The following is a 15,708-nucleotide window of genomic DNA, read 5'->3' on the forward strand; positions in this document are numbered from 1 at the left end:
AACTGTAATCCCAGCACTTTGGGAGGCCGAGGCAGGTGGATCACCTTAGGTCGGAAATTCGATACCAGCTTGACCAACAAGGTGAAACCCTGTCTCTACTAAAAATACAAAAATTAGCCAGATGTGGTGGCATGTGCCTATAGTCCCAGCTACTCGGGAGGCTGAGGCAGGAGAATTGCTTGAATCTGCGAGGCGGAGGTTGCAGTGAGCTGAGATTGTGCCACTGCATTCCAGCCTGGGCGATGGAGTGAGACTTTGTTTCAAAAAAAAAAAATGTGGAAGCACAGAGGAGCCCAGGTGATACTAGCTGCAAGGTCAGCCTCTTGGCAGAGAAGGGCTGAACAAGAGGGTTTGAGGCAGGAGCAAACGGTGAACAACTAACATATTTTATTTTGAAGCTGGTCTCCTAAATTGGAGGTCTTTTTACTTTTGGAGCACATAATTTCTTATCCGCTGTTGGTGTTTGTAAATTTTGCATCAAACTACAACTCAGGGTGTTGTCTTCTTCCCACAGCTTGCCTTTCTGGGTGAAGGAGAAGGCCAACAGTTTGAAAAATGAGATACAAGAGGTTGAGGAGCTTGACAACTGGCAGCCAGCAGTGCCCTTAATGCACATGCTACACCTTTCTGGTGGGTTAAAGAAACTTCAAAGAATAGTGTAAAAACTGGAGGAGTCCGCCGGGTATGGTGGCTCACTCCTGTAATCCCAGCACTTTGGGAGGCCGAGGCGGGCAGATCACAAGGTCAGGAGTTCAAGACAAGCCTGACCAACATGGTGAAACCCCGTCTCTACTAAAAATACAAAAATTAGCTGGGTGTGGTGGCGCGTGCCTGTAATCCCAGCTACTCAGGAGGCTGAGGCAGGAGAATCACTTGAACCTGGGAGGTGGAGGTTGCAGTGAGCTGAGATTGTGCCACTTGCACTCCAGCCTGGGCAACAGAGCGAAACTTTGCCTCAAACACAAACAAACAAACAAAACAAAACTGGAGGAGTCCAGAGAACAGGATTTTGAGAGGCTTCACAGTGGAAAGGAGGGCAGGCAAAGTATCTCCTGGAGTGGATGTGTCTTCTGTCCCGAGGTGGTCTCATGGGCAGATGTCATAGCCAAGCATTGGGGGTCGAGTGTATTGATTGAGAATTGTTAGTTTTGTAATGGAAGAAAACCTGTAACTCCATGCCTCTATCCACAGGTGCTTTGGACTTTCCAAGACAATCCTGAGCATAAACAGGCCCACAAAACATGTGCTGACTGCACTCTGGCGACCCTTTTCCAGTTGATGTTTTTTGTCATGTGACTGTTCTAAATCCAGTGTTTGACCCTTATGAGGAAGTGTTGTGCTTTGCTTTTTTAAAACTTTATATTTTGAAAACTTTCACATTTACATAAAAGTTGCAAGAATTGTACAACAAACACCTGCATATCCTTCACATAGATTCTATCATTGTTAATATTTGTTCAAACTTTCTCTCTCTCACAATATTACAGTTACCATTTTGCTGAACTCTTTGAGAGTGAGTGGCAGATATTGTAACCCTTTACACCTGTATACCTACATACCTCAGCATGTATCTTCTAAGGTCAAGGATGTTGTCTAACAACCACAACACAAATACCAAACTCACAGAATTTAACACTGATAAAATATTATTAACATTTAGTCCACATTCAATTTTAGTCAATTATATTTAGTTTTCTAAGGATGCCCTCAAATCAATCATAAAATACAGACATGATGTGAGTGTCTTAGCCTGTTCAGGCTGCTATAACAAAACGCCATAAACAGAATGGCTTATAAACAATAGGAATTCATTTCTTACAGTTCTGGAGGCTGGGAAGTCCAAGCGCAGGGTGCTGGCAGGTTCAGTGTCTGCTGAGGGCCAGCCTTCTGGCTCATAGATAGTACCTTCTTGCTGTGTCCTCATATGATAGAAAGGGTGAGCTAGTCCTCTGGGGTCTCTTTTACAAGGGCACTAATCTCATTCATGAGGGCTCTGGTCTCATGACCTAATCGCCTCCCAATGGCCTTACCTCCTAATACCATCACCTTGGGGATTAGGTTTCGACATATGCATTTTGGGGTGGGGAGGACAAACATTTAGACCATAGCAGTGAACTTTCATTGCTTTTGGTAAAACTTTTCATTTTATTAATACCTTTTGGAATGTTTCTCTAATGTTAACTTGGTACATGTCAGAAAAACATGAAGGCTGGATCTATACCAGGTAAGTAATACTATTGCCCTGTAGCTGCATTCCCCAGTTTAGTATTGCCTATCTACAATAGCCAAGCAGGGTGAGAGCTCAGTGACCACCAGTCATGAGTTTTAGGGCCTCCTGTCAATCAGACAAGAAGCAAACATTTGGAGGAAAAGGTGAAAACAAAAGCTGCCTCACAGGCTTTGACACAGTCAAACTAGTGACTCACGGCATTTTTACAGCCAATCTCTTTCTCCACTAGGGAACCCCCTTGGCTGGCTAATGAAGGCTGCAGATCTAGTATCTCCAAAACCTTAAAGTGGAAAGAGATTGGGGTCCATGCTGAGACTCCACATGTCTATGACATGAGCATGATTTATTTCCCAAAATGTTTGTTGTCTCCAGTCACAGCCAAAGTGAATGAAGCAGGTTTAGAACACGATACATTTAGCCAGGTGTGGTGGCTCATGCCTGTAATCCCAGCACTTTTGGAGGCCGAGGCAGGCGAATCACTTGAGGTCAGGAGTTCGAGACCAGCCTGGTCAACATGGCGAAACCTGTCTCTACTAAAATCACAAAAATTAGCCAGGCAAGATGGTGGGCACCTGTAATCCCTGGTACTCGGGAGGCTGAGGCAGGAGAATCTCTTGAACCCAGGAGGCAGAGGTTGCAGTGAGCCAAGACCATGCCATTGCACTCCAGCCTGGGCGACAAGAGCGAAACTCCATCCCAAAAACAAAGAAGCAAACAAAAACCACAATGCATTCATGGCACCTTCATATGTGCCTCTAGACTAACTGGCAGAGAGCATGGTGCCGACTGCCAGCTGCTGTGCCTGACCACTCCTTGGGTTAACATCAGCATACATCCGTGCTAATCCTCTGGCCCCTGGGTCACAGGCCCACCCCTGCTCCCAACATAATAATTTAAAAAAACACCAAATAATTTTTAAAAAGACAGAGGCTGCCAAGAGATTTTCCAGGACACATTAACTTCTGAAAAGATAATAATTTTTTGTGCCTCTATTACTTAAATGTAAAAAAGTCTTCTTTCCCCTAGTCAAAAACAATGCCCCACCCCTAAAAAAAAAAGTCAACTGCAACCACCAGGTGGGTTAGTAATGGAGGACACAATATAGAACAAAAAAAGATTCTGCAGAGATTTCCTGGTGAGATTATCTAGGTGGCACAGGAAACTGCTCTCAGAAGGTTCCCTGGTGTTTTGGAAGGAGGGAGTCCTACACCATAAATATATTAAGGAAAACAACCGGCTGGGCGTGGTGGCTCACGCCTGTAATCCCAGCACTTTGGGAGGCCGAGGCAGGCGGATCACGAGGTCAGGAGATCGAGACCATCCTGGCTAACATGGAGAAACCCTGTCTCTATTAAAAACACAAAAAAATTAGCCAGGCATGGTGGTGGGCACCTATAGTCCCAGGACTGTACTATACTCGGGAGGCTGAGGCAGGAGAATGGTGTCAACCTGGGAGGCGGAGCTTGCAGTGACCCAAGATTGTGCCACTGCACTCCAGCCTGGGCAACAGAGTGAGACTCTGTCTCAAAAAAAAAAAAAAAAAAAAAAAAAAAAGAAAGAAAGAAAGAAAGAAAAACAACCAAAATACAGTTTTAGAAGGTTTGGAGTAGTCTCTAGGTTTCAAAGAGGTCTATATAATTCCTAGGTGCTGCTCTAAGTAGATATGATTTGATTCCTTTTTCTTTTAATCCAGGCCGCAAAAACCATGAGTAAAAAAAAAAAACACAAAAAAACAAAAAAACCCTACACAACTGTTAGATGATTGAACTTCTGGAGTTGCAGAGCTACATTTCATCCCCTGAAAATCAGGGCAGTTTTCGCTGGATCTGGTGTTCTCTGTGGGTACATCTCGATGCCCAGGCCTTATTCCACGGCACCTCAATAGCTGTCAGGTAGAGTTCCACTGCCAACTTTGGACAGCATGAGTATGTCTACGTGTGTGGGGAGACAAAGGCATAGAGAAAGGCCACATGGGAAAAATATGTGCATATCATAGCTGTTCCAGCTTTTGCTTCTTTCCAGCTAGAAAGAGGTTGAACCTGTTAGATGTAAAGATCCCCTTCACCTCACTGTAGGGTCTTTGGTAAATAAAAACATGTGGGTGCAGAGGTGTGTGTGTGTTCAATTCTTACTTTCAATAACTGAAGTTCAATAGAAATAAACTATATGTGAAACTTTACAAGTAAATTTCTTAGTGTGCAATTTTATATTGCACAGAGGTATTCTAATTTTGGATCCTGGGATAAATGAAAAATGACCTCTGTGGACATGAAGAAACATTGTATTATTCAGCTAGTGGCACCAACGTTCGAATTAGTGATCTCTGAACTCCAAGTTACCAAAATGTTAAGATAGTAGGATATTAAACTTCTAAAATTCCACAAGGAATTTAGGAATATACTGTAGGATTCCACTAATTGTCCACATTTCTAATACGAGGCACTCAGTTTGGTTAGTTTTGTTTTGTTCTTAGGCATTTTGGTCTCAAAATCTAGGCAGGTAAACACATTGTTTACAGGACTTGACTTGGTGAAGTATTTTAGAGTTGGAGTCCTTCAAGATCATGTCTCTGTCCTAAAGAGGCTTTTCTTTCCTGGCTGGGAAATCAGGAGAGAGTACTTGGGTATATAATTACCTCTACCCAGAACTGAGCCACATGCCTGATGCAGGATGGCGCACCTTTTTACGGGGTCTACGAGCCAAGTTCCCGGCACACTCTGGGAGAGGATGTGGGAGCCCATTTGAGATGACTGGTGTCCTTCCCATGCTGGGGAGCCCCAAGAGGTACTGTGGCCTGATGCCACCCTCAGGAATGGGGAGGCCACTACTGACTCACCTGGGAGCCAACACTGAGGCTCCTAAATCCAGGCTATAACACTTACATGAAAAGTAAACATTTTGTGGTGTGCATGAAGGGTCCTAGCCTTATATCAAACAAGCAGCCAAAATATCCCAATGTCTTATTTTCTGAGGAAATGTGTCTGCCTCCACCAAATGTGGTGTGGGGGCAGCAGACGGATCCAGCTTCCAGTGGTGAAGCTGTGAGCAAGGGTATGCTTATCTGGCTAGAAATGTGTTCTTTTGTCTGAGCACAGTTTGGGCTGGAGTAAAAGTTGGGATTCTGTTAGACAGAATGGATTTAGGGGCATAGTTATACTAAATATTGTTTGTTCTTTATTTAAAATTCATTTAAATGGGAGCTCTGCATTTTTTTTTTTTTTTTTGAGATGGAGTGTCGCTCTGTCGCCCAGGCTGGAGTGCAGTGGCGCCATCTCGGCTCCCTGCAAGCTCTGCCTCCCGGGTTCACGCCATTCTCCTGCCTCAGCCTCCCAAGTAGCTGGGACTACAGGCACCCGCCACCACACCCGGCTAATTTTTTTGTTTTTTTAGTAGAGACGGGGTTTCACCGTGTTAGCCAGGATGGTCTTGATCTCCTGACCTTGTGATCCGCCCGCCTCAGCCTCCCAAAGTGCTGGGATTACAGGTGTGAGCCACTGCGCCCGGCCGAGCTCTGCATTTTTATTTGTCAGAACTGGCAACTTATAGTGCAGGTGGCACAAAGGAGATAGATTTGAGGACTAAGTAGGAGGTCAAGGTGGTGAGACTCTGGGATGACTTGGGAATGGGTGGGGTAAAAATATACGAGAAGGAGAAATGGCAACTGGATGGATGATGGTGTAGTTGCCAGGGCCATCTGGACCTCATGTAGCATCTTTGTACAACTAGAGAATGATGCCCTCTTGGTGGACACAGCCCTGTGGATGCACAGCTTAGTGAGCTGTGTGCAAGCTGGATTTAAATCCCCATGTCCTTGTTGTGCAGTGAACTTCTTACACAACCATATGCAGCAGCCTTGTGCTATTTGCTGAAATGAGGCATGCTGGGGAAGTACAGATTTTTTGGCAGGAGGTCAATGTTGGGCAATTTGACATTGAGGAACTTGTGACACTGGTGGAACTATCTAGGGTGTAGTCGGGCATATAAATCTGGGGTCTGGATATACGCATGTGAAAAATAAAGTCCCCTGTGAGAAATGTATATTCTAAGCCTGTGACATGTAGATGCAGGGGCTAGATATAAATTACACAATTGGAATATCCATCCCAAACTGAGCAACGAGCTCAAAAAGACCCTCAAACCTCAGGGCCTGAGCAAAAGCAAATTCTCCTTGGGATCATTTCTCCACTTCAGGGCACAGGGGACTCCCTAGAGAACACCCACAAAGGTGAACCCTGAGAAAGAACTATAAAACCACAACTGGATCCACCACAAGGAATTGTCAATGGATGAAACTCAAGCCAATTTAGGTGATGTTTTCAGCAATACAACATGAATTATCAGGATTTAGGATGCTTGGAAATCATTTTGTAGCAACTTGACACCAGGACATTAGCTTTTCCCAATGCTGGTTGAGGAATTTCTAAATGGGAAGGAGGGGCTTATGGATGGCAATCTGGTGGATGGGTTGGGCTAGAGGACCTGTCTTGAAATGATATCATCATGCAATGCATAACGACATTTTGATCAACTCTAAACTGCATATATGATGGTGGTCCCATAAGATTATAATTCCATATTTTTACTGTATCTTTTCTTTATTTTTTATTGTTTTGCAAATGTCTTTTAACAATTATTAGAAGACATTTTACTGATAAATGTTTTTACTGTACCTTTTCTGTATTTAGATACACAAATGCCATTGTGTTACAATTGCCTATGGTATTCAGTACAGTAACATGCTGTACAGGTTTGTAGCCTAGGAGCAAAGGGTTATATATACCATATGGCCTAGGTGTGTAATAGACTACTGCATCTAGATTTGGTGTGAGTACATTTTGTGATGTTCTCACAACAGTGAAATCACCTAACGATGCGTTTCTCAGAATGTATCCCTGTCATTGACACATGACTGCATTTGCAAAGCAGGACAGTATTTTTATTTAAATTATTATGCATGTTTATTTGGGGAGATGATGAAGATTGTGAGAGTCATTAATCCTGCCTCTAAACTATGCCTTGCTGTTGCCATAGGCTTTTGCCCCTAATTTTAGCCCTTTCCTGCATAGTTTCTTGGTGGTGAAAAAACTGGATGAAAGGGAAACTAGAATTTTGATTACTTTCTCTGCTAAGTAAATGTCAATCCATTCAGAACCAGCTACCCAGAGAGGGGTGAGGGGTAGGGAAATGGGGACAATGCAACCTAAAAATCCTCCTGCTAACATCTCTGGTTCCCCTTTGTAAGTTGGATGGACTTCTAACCTCTTTTTCCTGAGCCAGAGTTTCCCAAATTGTGTTTCCTGAGTGTCAATGGATATATAACACAAAAGGTTTTTAGGGTCAAATTAGTTTGGAAATGCTATATAGTAAGTCCTCATTTTTATCATTGTTAGGTTTTTGGAAACTGCAACTTTAAGCAAAAGGATGTATCATGTAATCAATTTTACCATAGGCTAATTGATATAAACAAGAGTTAAGTTTCTATGGCATATTTCTGGTCACAAAACATCAACGAACTTCTAAACAAAGACCAAAACACTTCTAATATTAAACATTGAAATAAGTGTAAGCTATGCATACATTTAAGAAAGATTAGGCTGGGCACGGTGGCTCATACCTGTAATTTCAGCACCTTGGGAGGTCAAGGGGGGCAGATCACTTGAGCTCAGGAGTTTGAGACCAGCCTGGGCAACATGGTGAAACCCCATTTCTACAAAAAAATACAAAACTTAGCCAGGCATGGGGGTGCACGCCTGTAGTCCCAGCTACTCGGGAGGCTGAAGTTGGAAGATTGCTTGAGCCAGTGGGGTGGGGGTCAAGGCTGCAGTGACCCGAGACTGTGGCACTGCACTCCAGCCTGCACAGAGTGAGACTCTGTCTCAAAGAAAAGAAAAGAAAAGAAAGATTAATAAAAACAAGAAATGTACTCCCGCTTATTCCAGTTCAGGGTTACAGGTGGCCGGAGCCTATCCTGGCACAAGGCAGGAATCAGTTCTGGACAGCACACAGGACACCATCCCATTGCAGGGCACACTCACACACCCTGACACTCACTCAGACTGCAGGCTTGCAAATGAACCTCACCTGCACAGCTTTGGGATGTGGGAGGAAACCAGGGTATCTGGAAGAAACCCACACAGACAGTGGCCCTGGCCTCAAGCGGATTTTTTTTTTTTTTTGAGATGAGGTCTCGCCCAGGGTGGAGTGCAGTGGTGTGATCATGGCTCACTGCAGCCTCGACCACCCAGGCTCAAGTGATCCTCCCATCTCAGCCTCATGGGTAGCTGGGATCACAGGTGTGCACCACCATGCCCAGCTAATTTTTAATATTTTTGTAGGGATGGGGTCTCACTATGTTGCTCAGGCTGGTCTCAAACTCCTGGGCTCAAGCAATCCTCCTGCCTTGGCCTCCCCGAGTGTTGGAATTACGGGCATGAGCCACCATGCCTGGACTCATCAATGTTATCATGAAACGATCTTGCACAAAATGATGTTATTCAAGGATCTGCTGTATTAACAAAGGAGTGTATTAGCTTCCTAGGGCTGCCACAAGAAAGCACAATAAACTAAGTGGCTTAAAACAAGAGAAATGTATTCTCTTACAGTTCTGGAGGCTGGGAGTCCAAAATCAAAGTGTCAGCAGGGCTGGCTCCTTCTTGGGGCTCAGAGGGAGAATGTGTTCCATGCCTTCTCCTGGCTTCTGGTGGCTGCCAGAATCCTTGGCATTCCTTGGCTTGGAGCTGCATCACTCCAATCTCTGCCTCTTTCTTCCCATGATATTCCCCCTGTGTGTCTGTATCTTTTTTCTTCTCCACTTATAAGGACACTACTCATTGGATTTAGGGACAACCTACTCCAGTATGATCTCATTTTAACTTGATTACATCTGCAAAGACTCTATTTCCAAATAAGGTCACATTTACAGGTAGCAGGGGTTAGGACTTGAACATATCTATTTGGGGGGAATACAATTCAACTCTCAACAGGGAGAAACAGATTTTTTCATCTGACAGCTTCTTACAGGCTTTAATTTCAGTGACTCTGCAAGAGGGGAGGACATAAAAACCATGTTTTTTTTTATTTTTTGTTTTTTTTTAAATGGAGTATTTTATGTAACTGGTGTTCTAAGGAACATGTTTGGGGAAAAATGCCTTGGGTGAGTGAGACTATTTAGCAGTGGCCACTCACTTTACCAAAGATTCACAGTGACTGACCATATAGTCTGGTTGCCTAACGATAGATGCTTCTTATGGCTGTCCCTCAAGAGATTGTTGGCAGTCCCTGTGGCCTCTTTGTAAGGGTTCCCATACCTGGCTGGTGAGGCTGCAGTAGTATGGTGGGGGAGGCTGGCCAAGCAGGCCATCCTGGAGAACAGTGTGTTTGTGTTCTGATGTTTGTGGCTACAGTGCTCTGGTTTCAGACATCCTGGAACTTCCATGATGTTGCATTTTTCTGAATTCTGAAAGGGAATATACAATCTGCATGTTCAAAGGTGAAATGAGGGACAGTTGACAGGGCTGTTTTACCTGGATGAGTAAGTTGTACAATGCATGTCTCTAGGGGTGGAATTCACATAGTGGAGATGGTAGATCCAATTTTCTTGTAATAGAGTGCCCTGTTCTCAGAACACCAGTATTTTGTGACAATTTTCCAGCATGTGGCATAAAGTGTCTTGAGGAAGGGGCACCTTTTTCTAGTTCTCACAAAAGTAACATATGGTAAAGAGGTGGCCCTGAGTGGGAGGGAGAAGCCTTCATCAACTCTTGGAATGTGAGATCTGAAAGGCCTCTGACAGAGTATTGGTCCATCTCTGGAATTGTTAGGACTCTTCCTTACAAATAATAGAAACCCAATTCCAAGTGGCTAACACAAATAGGAAACTAATAATCAGAATGCAAGGACAGGAATGCAGCTGGGACTCAGGAACATGCTGGATCCAGGTACTCTGACATGGTCAGGACTTACATCTCTCTCTTTACCTGCTTTTTTCCCTTAGTCCAAAACATGGTGGTAGACAACTCCTGGGTGTCACGTGTTGGATGTTCAGCAGTCAGTAGAGACTGACCTCCTCTATGCTCCAGTGTTAAAATCTCGAAGACCTAGTATTTGATAGCACAACAGGGTGACTATAGTAAAAAATAATTTAATTGTACATTTAAATTAACTAAAAGATTATAATTGGATTGTTTGTAAAACAAAAGATAAACACTTGAGATGATGGATACCCCATTTACCCTGATGTGATTATTATGTGTTGTATGCCAGTATCAAAATATCTCATGTACCCCATAAATATGTGTGTACTATGTACCCACAAAAATTAAATATAACAAATTAAAAAAAAACCGCCCCATTACAGGAGAGGTCCAAATGAAAACATTTTGTTTGAGTTTAACTGGCCACAGGTCCAATGGTTTCTTATACACCACACAGTGGGTAAACAGCTCAAGGGCGGGCTGCCCGCCAGCATAAACCTTTGAGTGGCAAACACTACCAGGGTGGCCATGGAAAATGCCCTCTTGCTGACCATAATTGCACAGAATGTGTGTAAATAAAAGCTAAAAGGAAAAAGAAAATTCTGTAGCTCTTCCAGAAGAGGCAAACGGAGAAATGAAGAAATATAAAGAGATAGGCACTATATAAATACTAAGTACTATAAATAGGGCATTTCCCAACCCACTAAATATTTTGATATTTTCCAGGGATGGAGCCAGAGATGTTCTGGAAGGATGAAGGAGACTGCATGAGTAATTGGGGTGGGGTAGCAGAGAGTTTGCCAATCCCTACCTCACTGGGTTTTAGTTATGTTTCAGTTAATCTGCCTCCTCATTTACGAGGCGGGTATTGTTAGCTCCACTTTTCAGATGAGGATACTGAGATTCAGTAAGGTTATTACCCAAACTTATGAGAAAGCCAAGATTTCACAATATTTCAACCCAACTCGACTTTGTCTAATACCAGTGCGTACCAATGGCATTATTAATCCAGACTGGGCGATGAATTAAAAACTCTGACGTGACGTTTCTGCAGGTTTCTGGAAGAAGCCTGGATCACCTGGGGACGGGGTGAAGTTGGCGTTGCCCTCCTTGCAGTAATAGCTGCTATTGTTTTGCAGCAGTTATTATGGATCAGATACTGTGCTGGGTCTATGATCTCATTTAGCCCTTACGACAATCCTGTGAGGTTGGCATTACTATGATCTCTATTTTACAGGTTAGGAAACTGAGCCTTAAATAAACTACTGGATTTTCCTGAGTATTCTGTGAATAAATTCCTATTACTGAAATACTTGAAAGGGCTAGATTAATAAATTAACAAAGCCTTCTTCGGAGCAACTGTGCTGAAATTCCGTACGCGTGACGTTCCCACCCTCTGCCACTCGGTGACGTCACGATCAATCCCACCACTAAGTTCCCAGCCAAGCGCTACCGCCGCTATCTCGCGAGAGCCGTAGTTTCTTCCATTCTGTTTTGGACATGCGCGGGGCGTAAGGCGCTTTGGCCAGAGTGGTTTGATGGTTTTGTGTTAGTCTTCCTGCAGCTGAGCTTCCACAAGACACTTTTTCCCTTTCAGCCACCCAATATCTCGCGAGACTTGCTATTCTGCGCCCCCTCCCACCTTGCGCTTGCGCAGATCTTCAAAGCAGAAGGTCGCGCTTGGAGGAAGTGGCGGCTTTGAGTCCGGTGGCCCAATCGCTGTTACTACTTCTCTGAAGCTCCTCTCGGCTGCTTGCCGAGACACCCTGCCGCCAAGATGCCTCGAATTATGATCAAGGGGGGCGTATGGAGGAATACCGAGGTAAGTCTCCTTTTCCCGCCGTCCGCTGCCCGCCGCTCCCTCTAGCAGCTTGTGCGCACGCGCGCGGAGGTCGGGGGGGCGACGAGGAGACCCTGTGGGGTCTGCGTGGAGGGCAGCCCGGGGGCTGACCCTTGGGGCCCTTTCCGTGTGTCTGGCCCCGTGTTGTGCGAGCGCCAGTAGGACAGGGACCGTGATGTCACCACCTGGCTACTCGGCTCCAAGCTCACTTGTTAGGCCCTGAGTGAACATTTGTTGACTTGAATACGCCCCCTCCCACCCCGCCCCCCCGCCCCCCCCGGCCCCGGGAAGAACTCAGAGTTCCAACTCAGCCAGAGTTGGTCCCCCGGGGCACCATCCACTCTTAGTCCAGGCACCACGACTCTGTCTCATACTCAGAAATAAAGAAGTTGCCGTGGCCACAACTTTGTGTCTCCATTGACTTCCTTGCAGAGGGGAAGCAGTTTGAGTGCCAGGTTCAGAGAGCCCGTTTATGCCCGCATCTCTCTGGTTATCTGTTATCAGGGCATAACCTGTCTGCCATCTCGACAGATCCCAAGGTCTGTCTCTTTCTGTCACTGCCTTTGCCTAGATAGAAGCCAGAAAGGAAAAACTGGCCTAGGATAGTCTCTGTTTCCAGAAACGTAGTGGATAGTGCCATTGGTGAGCCAAAGGGCAGTAGAGTGGGAGTGAAATAGAAATTAGATTTTAGTGCGTTTTGTGTTCAGAGTGTACCGAATTTATCAGTTTCTGGAGCACATCATGTCTTTTCATGCTCTGTGTCTTTTTTTCGTTACATTTTATGGCTTCTTTTTTTTTTTTTTTTTACATCTTTTGCCTTCCTAGCGCTTGACATCTTTCTGATCATCCTTCAAACCTAGTTCGGAAACACTTCTTGGAATCTCTGTAAGAATTAATTGCACCCCCGATATTCTCATGATACCTTTTTCTTCCGTTTGTTAAAACTTGCTTTGTCTTTTTGTAAGCATCACATCCTCTGTGTGGTACTCGGTAAGTTTCTTAACTTCTGAAAGCCTCAGTTTTCTACTTTTTCTAAATTGGGATAATAATACTTAACCTCTCTTGAGGATTACACGAGTTAATACGTTTGGAATATTTAGATCAGAGTAGGGCACATAGTAGCCTCTGAGTAAGAGCTAGTTGCTCTTTCACCTCACCAGACAGCATGGCGAGAGGACCAGGTCTTGGTATCCCTAGGACCTAGGACAGTAACCAACATGAAGTAGGTTGCTCGACAGGTATTTGCAGAATGAATCAAGTAGAGTAGGTATCTGCTGTATCTATTTAATTGAAAATGTGTTTAAGTGTAGTTGTACTGCAACCAAGTTACAAAAAAGACAATGAAAACTGCCTCAGCTTCCACCGAGGGAACCAGACTGTTTAAATTGGAGAAGAGATGACTTCTGAGGGAGAGACAGATATAAAATCAAGTAACAGTAGGATTCCTATGCAGTGGTCAAAGCTCTGCAGTCTTTTTAAAAAGTATCTTTGATCATGGGAGATGTAGAGGATGGAGTGGGGTATCTCAAGAGGCACGTACCTCAAATCCAATGTGGGAAAAAAAGCCTAGAAGTAAAATCGCCTAAGTGCATGCATCTATGGCTCCATTAACTTTCTTGTCTTTGGCTTGGCTTGCCAGGCTTCCTTGAGGTTGGTGCATTCCACATGGCAATGGGTGCCCTGGTGAAATGGTATCTAGAGATGGGGGGAAATTGGAAGGAGAGCTGACTAGTGGGGTTGGGGTAGAAATATGTAATTCTTAGGTTAGACCTGAGATGTGGATTCTTGGGTCATAGTTGGGGTTAAGGGGCTGGAGGGGAAATGCCATGTATAAACTTGAGACAGGAGGCTTGGATTGGAGAATATATTCACCAGAGTCCCAACTTGCTTCTTGAGGCCTGGATATGTCCTGTTTGATAAGACCTTTCCCCAAGGGAAAGGTAGATGTTTCAAGGTAGATGTTCAGGAAGTGTTTTTTGAGTGAGTGTATAAATGAATGAGTTATACATTTTTGTTGTTGTTGTGTTTTTTAGTTATCCTTTTTGAAGAGAAGGACAGCCACACGTTGAAGAATACTTTTTCTTAATTTTTGTCATAAAGTAGGGTTTCTCAGATTGGGCTGTTCCCACTCCCAATTTATTGGAGAGTGTGGTGTAAGGGTGGGTAGCTGTCTTTCTAAGGGATTTCTTCTTAATTTCTCAATTCTTGGTTGCTGTTATTATAGTTAATGAGGTTTTCATCCTTAGTCTTTTAACCTAGGTGGTGTGTATGTGCATGTTATATGTCTCTTTCTCCAATAGCCCTATCAGAGTTAATTTAAATTTTGTCTTTTCCCACTTGGAGTTTTGTGACTGAATGTACTCTTTGGCAATTTTTTTTAGGATGAAATTCTGAAAGCAGCGGTAATGAAATATGGGAAAAATCAGTGGTCTAGGATTGCCTCATTGCTGCATAGAAAATCAGCAAAGCAGTGCAAAGCCAGATGGTATGTATCAGTTTAATAAGTGGAAAACAGAAAAGGAGCTTAATTATGATGATGGAAAATGTCAACTCTGTGAACCTTATCAAAGAAAGCAGACATTGTAATATAACAAGGCATGGAGTGGGAGATGGAAGTTGGGTGTTTGACTTAGCTGTCACTTGCTTCCTGTGTGGTCTTAGGCAAGCCATTTTTCTATCCCTCTCCCCTGCCCTTGTTTTCTCCCAATTAGGGATAATAATACTTGGTCCTGACTGATAGAGATGTGAGTTGTCATCTAAATGGGTTAATGTATTTGAGAGTGCTTTGTGAAGCATACAAAGTCTACTTTCAGGGACAGATGAGCCCCAGCTTGTAAATTAATTGTGTTCTAAAAGTGCATAAGTTAGCTGTTTTAGAAATTACTTGCTCAAAGAAATAAATGATAAATAATGGCTAATTTTCTAAGTAAGCCTACAGTAGTTGAGTTTCCTCATAATACAGTTGAAATATTATATATTTTATAGTTAATATGTTATATATTATATATTAAACATACTTAATGTTATATATTATATATTAAACATATTTAATATGTTATATATTATATATTAAACATATTTAATATGTTATATATTATATATTAAACATATTTAATATGTTATATATTATATATTAAACATATTTAATATGTTATATATTATATATTAAACATATTTAATATGTTATATATTATATATTAAACATTTAATATGTTATATATTATATATTAAACATATTTAATATGTTATATATTATATATTAAACATATTTAATATGTTATATATTGTATATATTAAACATATTTAATATGTTATATATATTAAAAGATATAAGCCAACTCTGAACCTGTGGTGTCACCTCTTTTTTATTTTTATTTTTTGGGACGGAGTCTTGCTCTGTCGCCCAGGCTGGAGTGCAGTGGCGTGATCTCAGCTCACTGCAAGCTTTGCCTCCCGGGTTCACGCCATTCTTCTGCCATAGCCTCCTGAGTAGCTGGGACTACAGGCTCCTGCCACCATTCCCGGCTAATTTTTTGTATTTTTAGTAGAGACGGAGTTTCGCCGTGTTAGCCAGGATGGTCTTGATCTCCTGACCTCGTGATCCATCCACCTCGGCCTCCCAGAGTGCTGGGATTACAGGCGTGAGCCACCGCGCCCGGCTGGTG

The 15,708-nt window shown here is 43.2% G+C and overlaps 2 protein-coding genes and 1 long non-coding RNA gene across 4 annotated transcripts in view, besides 1 other annotated feature; 2 read left to right on the top strand and 1 right to left on the bottom strand.

Annotated features, from left to right (window-relative positions):
- The window catches only part of SPATS1 (spermatogenesis associated serine rich 1), a 37,530-nt gene extending 33,194 nt beyond the window's left edge, over nt 1-4,336 (top strand). For both annotated transcript variants that reach the window (NM_001372081.1, NM_145026.4), the window contains exons 8-9: nt 515-630; nt 1,192-4,336. In NM_001372081.1, coding sequence (NP_001359010.1) covers nt 515-630; nt 1,192-1,220 — 145 coding nt within the window. In that variant the 3' untranslated portion in view covers nt 1,221-4,336. The remainder of the gene's footprint in view (nt 1-514; nt 631-1,191) is intronic.
- LOC124901323 (uncharacterized) lies at nt 8,719-12,076 on the bottom strand. Its single transcript, XR_007059595.1, has 4 exons — nt 11,196-12,076; nt 10,207-10,326; nt 9,538-9,686; nt 8,719-9,268 (listed from the first exon to the last, which is right to left on the bottom strand). It is a non-coding gene; the product is annotated as an uncharacterized LOC124901323 (long non-coding RNA).
- Nucleotides 11,745-11,944: an enhancer, noted in NCBI's record as "active region_24638". NCBI's record gives its function as "activates an Ori minimal core promoter by ATAC-STARR-seq in GM12878 lymphoblastoid cells {active_cell/tissue: GM12878}" and the evidence as "EXISTENCE:reporter gene assay evidence [ECO:0000049][PMID:35858748]".
- Nucleotides 11,863-15,708, top strand: part of CDC5L (cell division cycle 5 like) — a 62,720-nt gene continuing 58,874 nt past the window's right edge. Inside the window, exons 1-2 of the mRNA NM_001253.4 lie at nt 11,863-12,025; nt 14,425-14,528. Coding sequence (NP_001244.1) covers nt 11,981-12,025; nt 14,425-14,528 — 149 coding nt within the window. The 5' untranslated portion in view covers nt 11,863-11,980. The remainder of the gene's footprint in view (nt 12,026-14,424; nt 14,529-15,708) is intronic.

Source organism: Homo sapiens, chromosome 6 (genome assembly GCF_000001405.40).
Source record: "Homo sapiens chromosome 6, GRCh38.p14 Primary Assembly".
Lineage (NCBI taxonomy): Eukaryota > Metazoa > Chordata > Mammalia > Primates > Hominidae > Homo > Homo sapiens.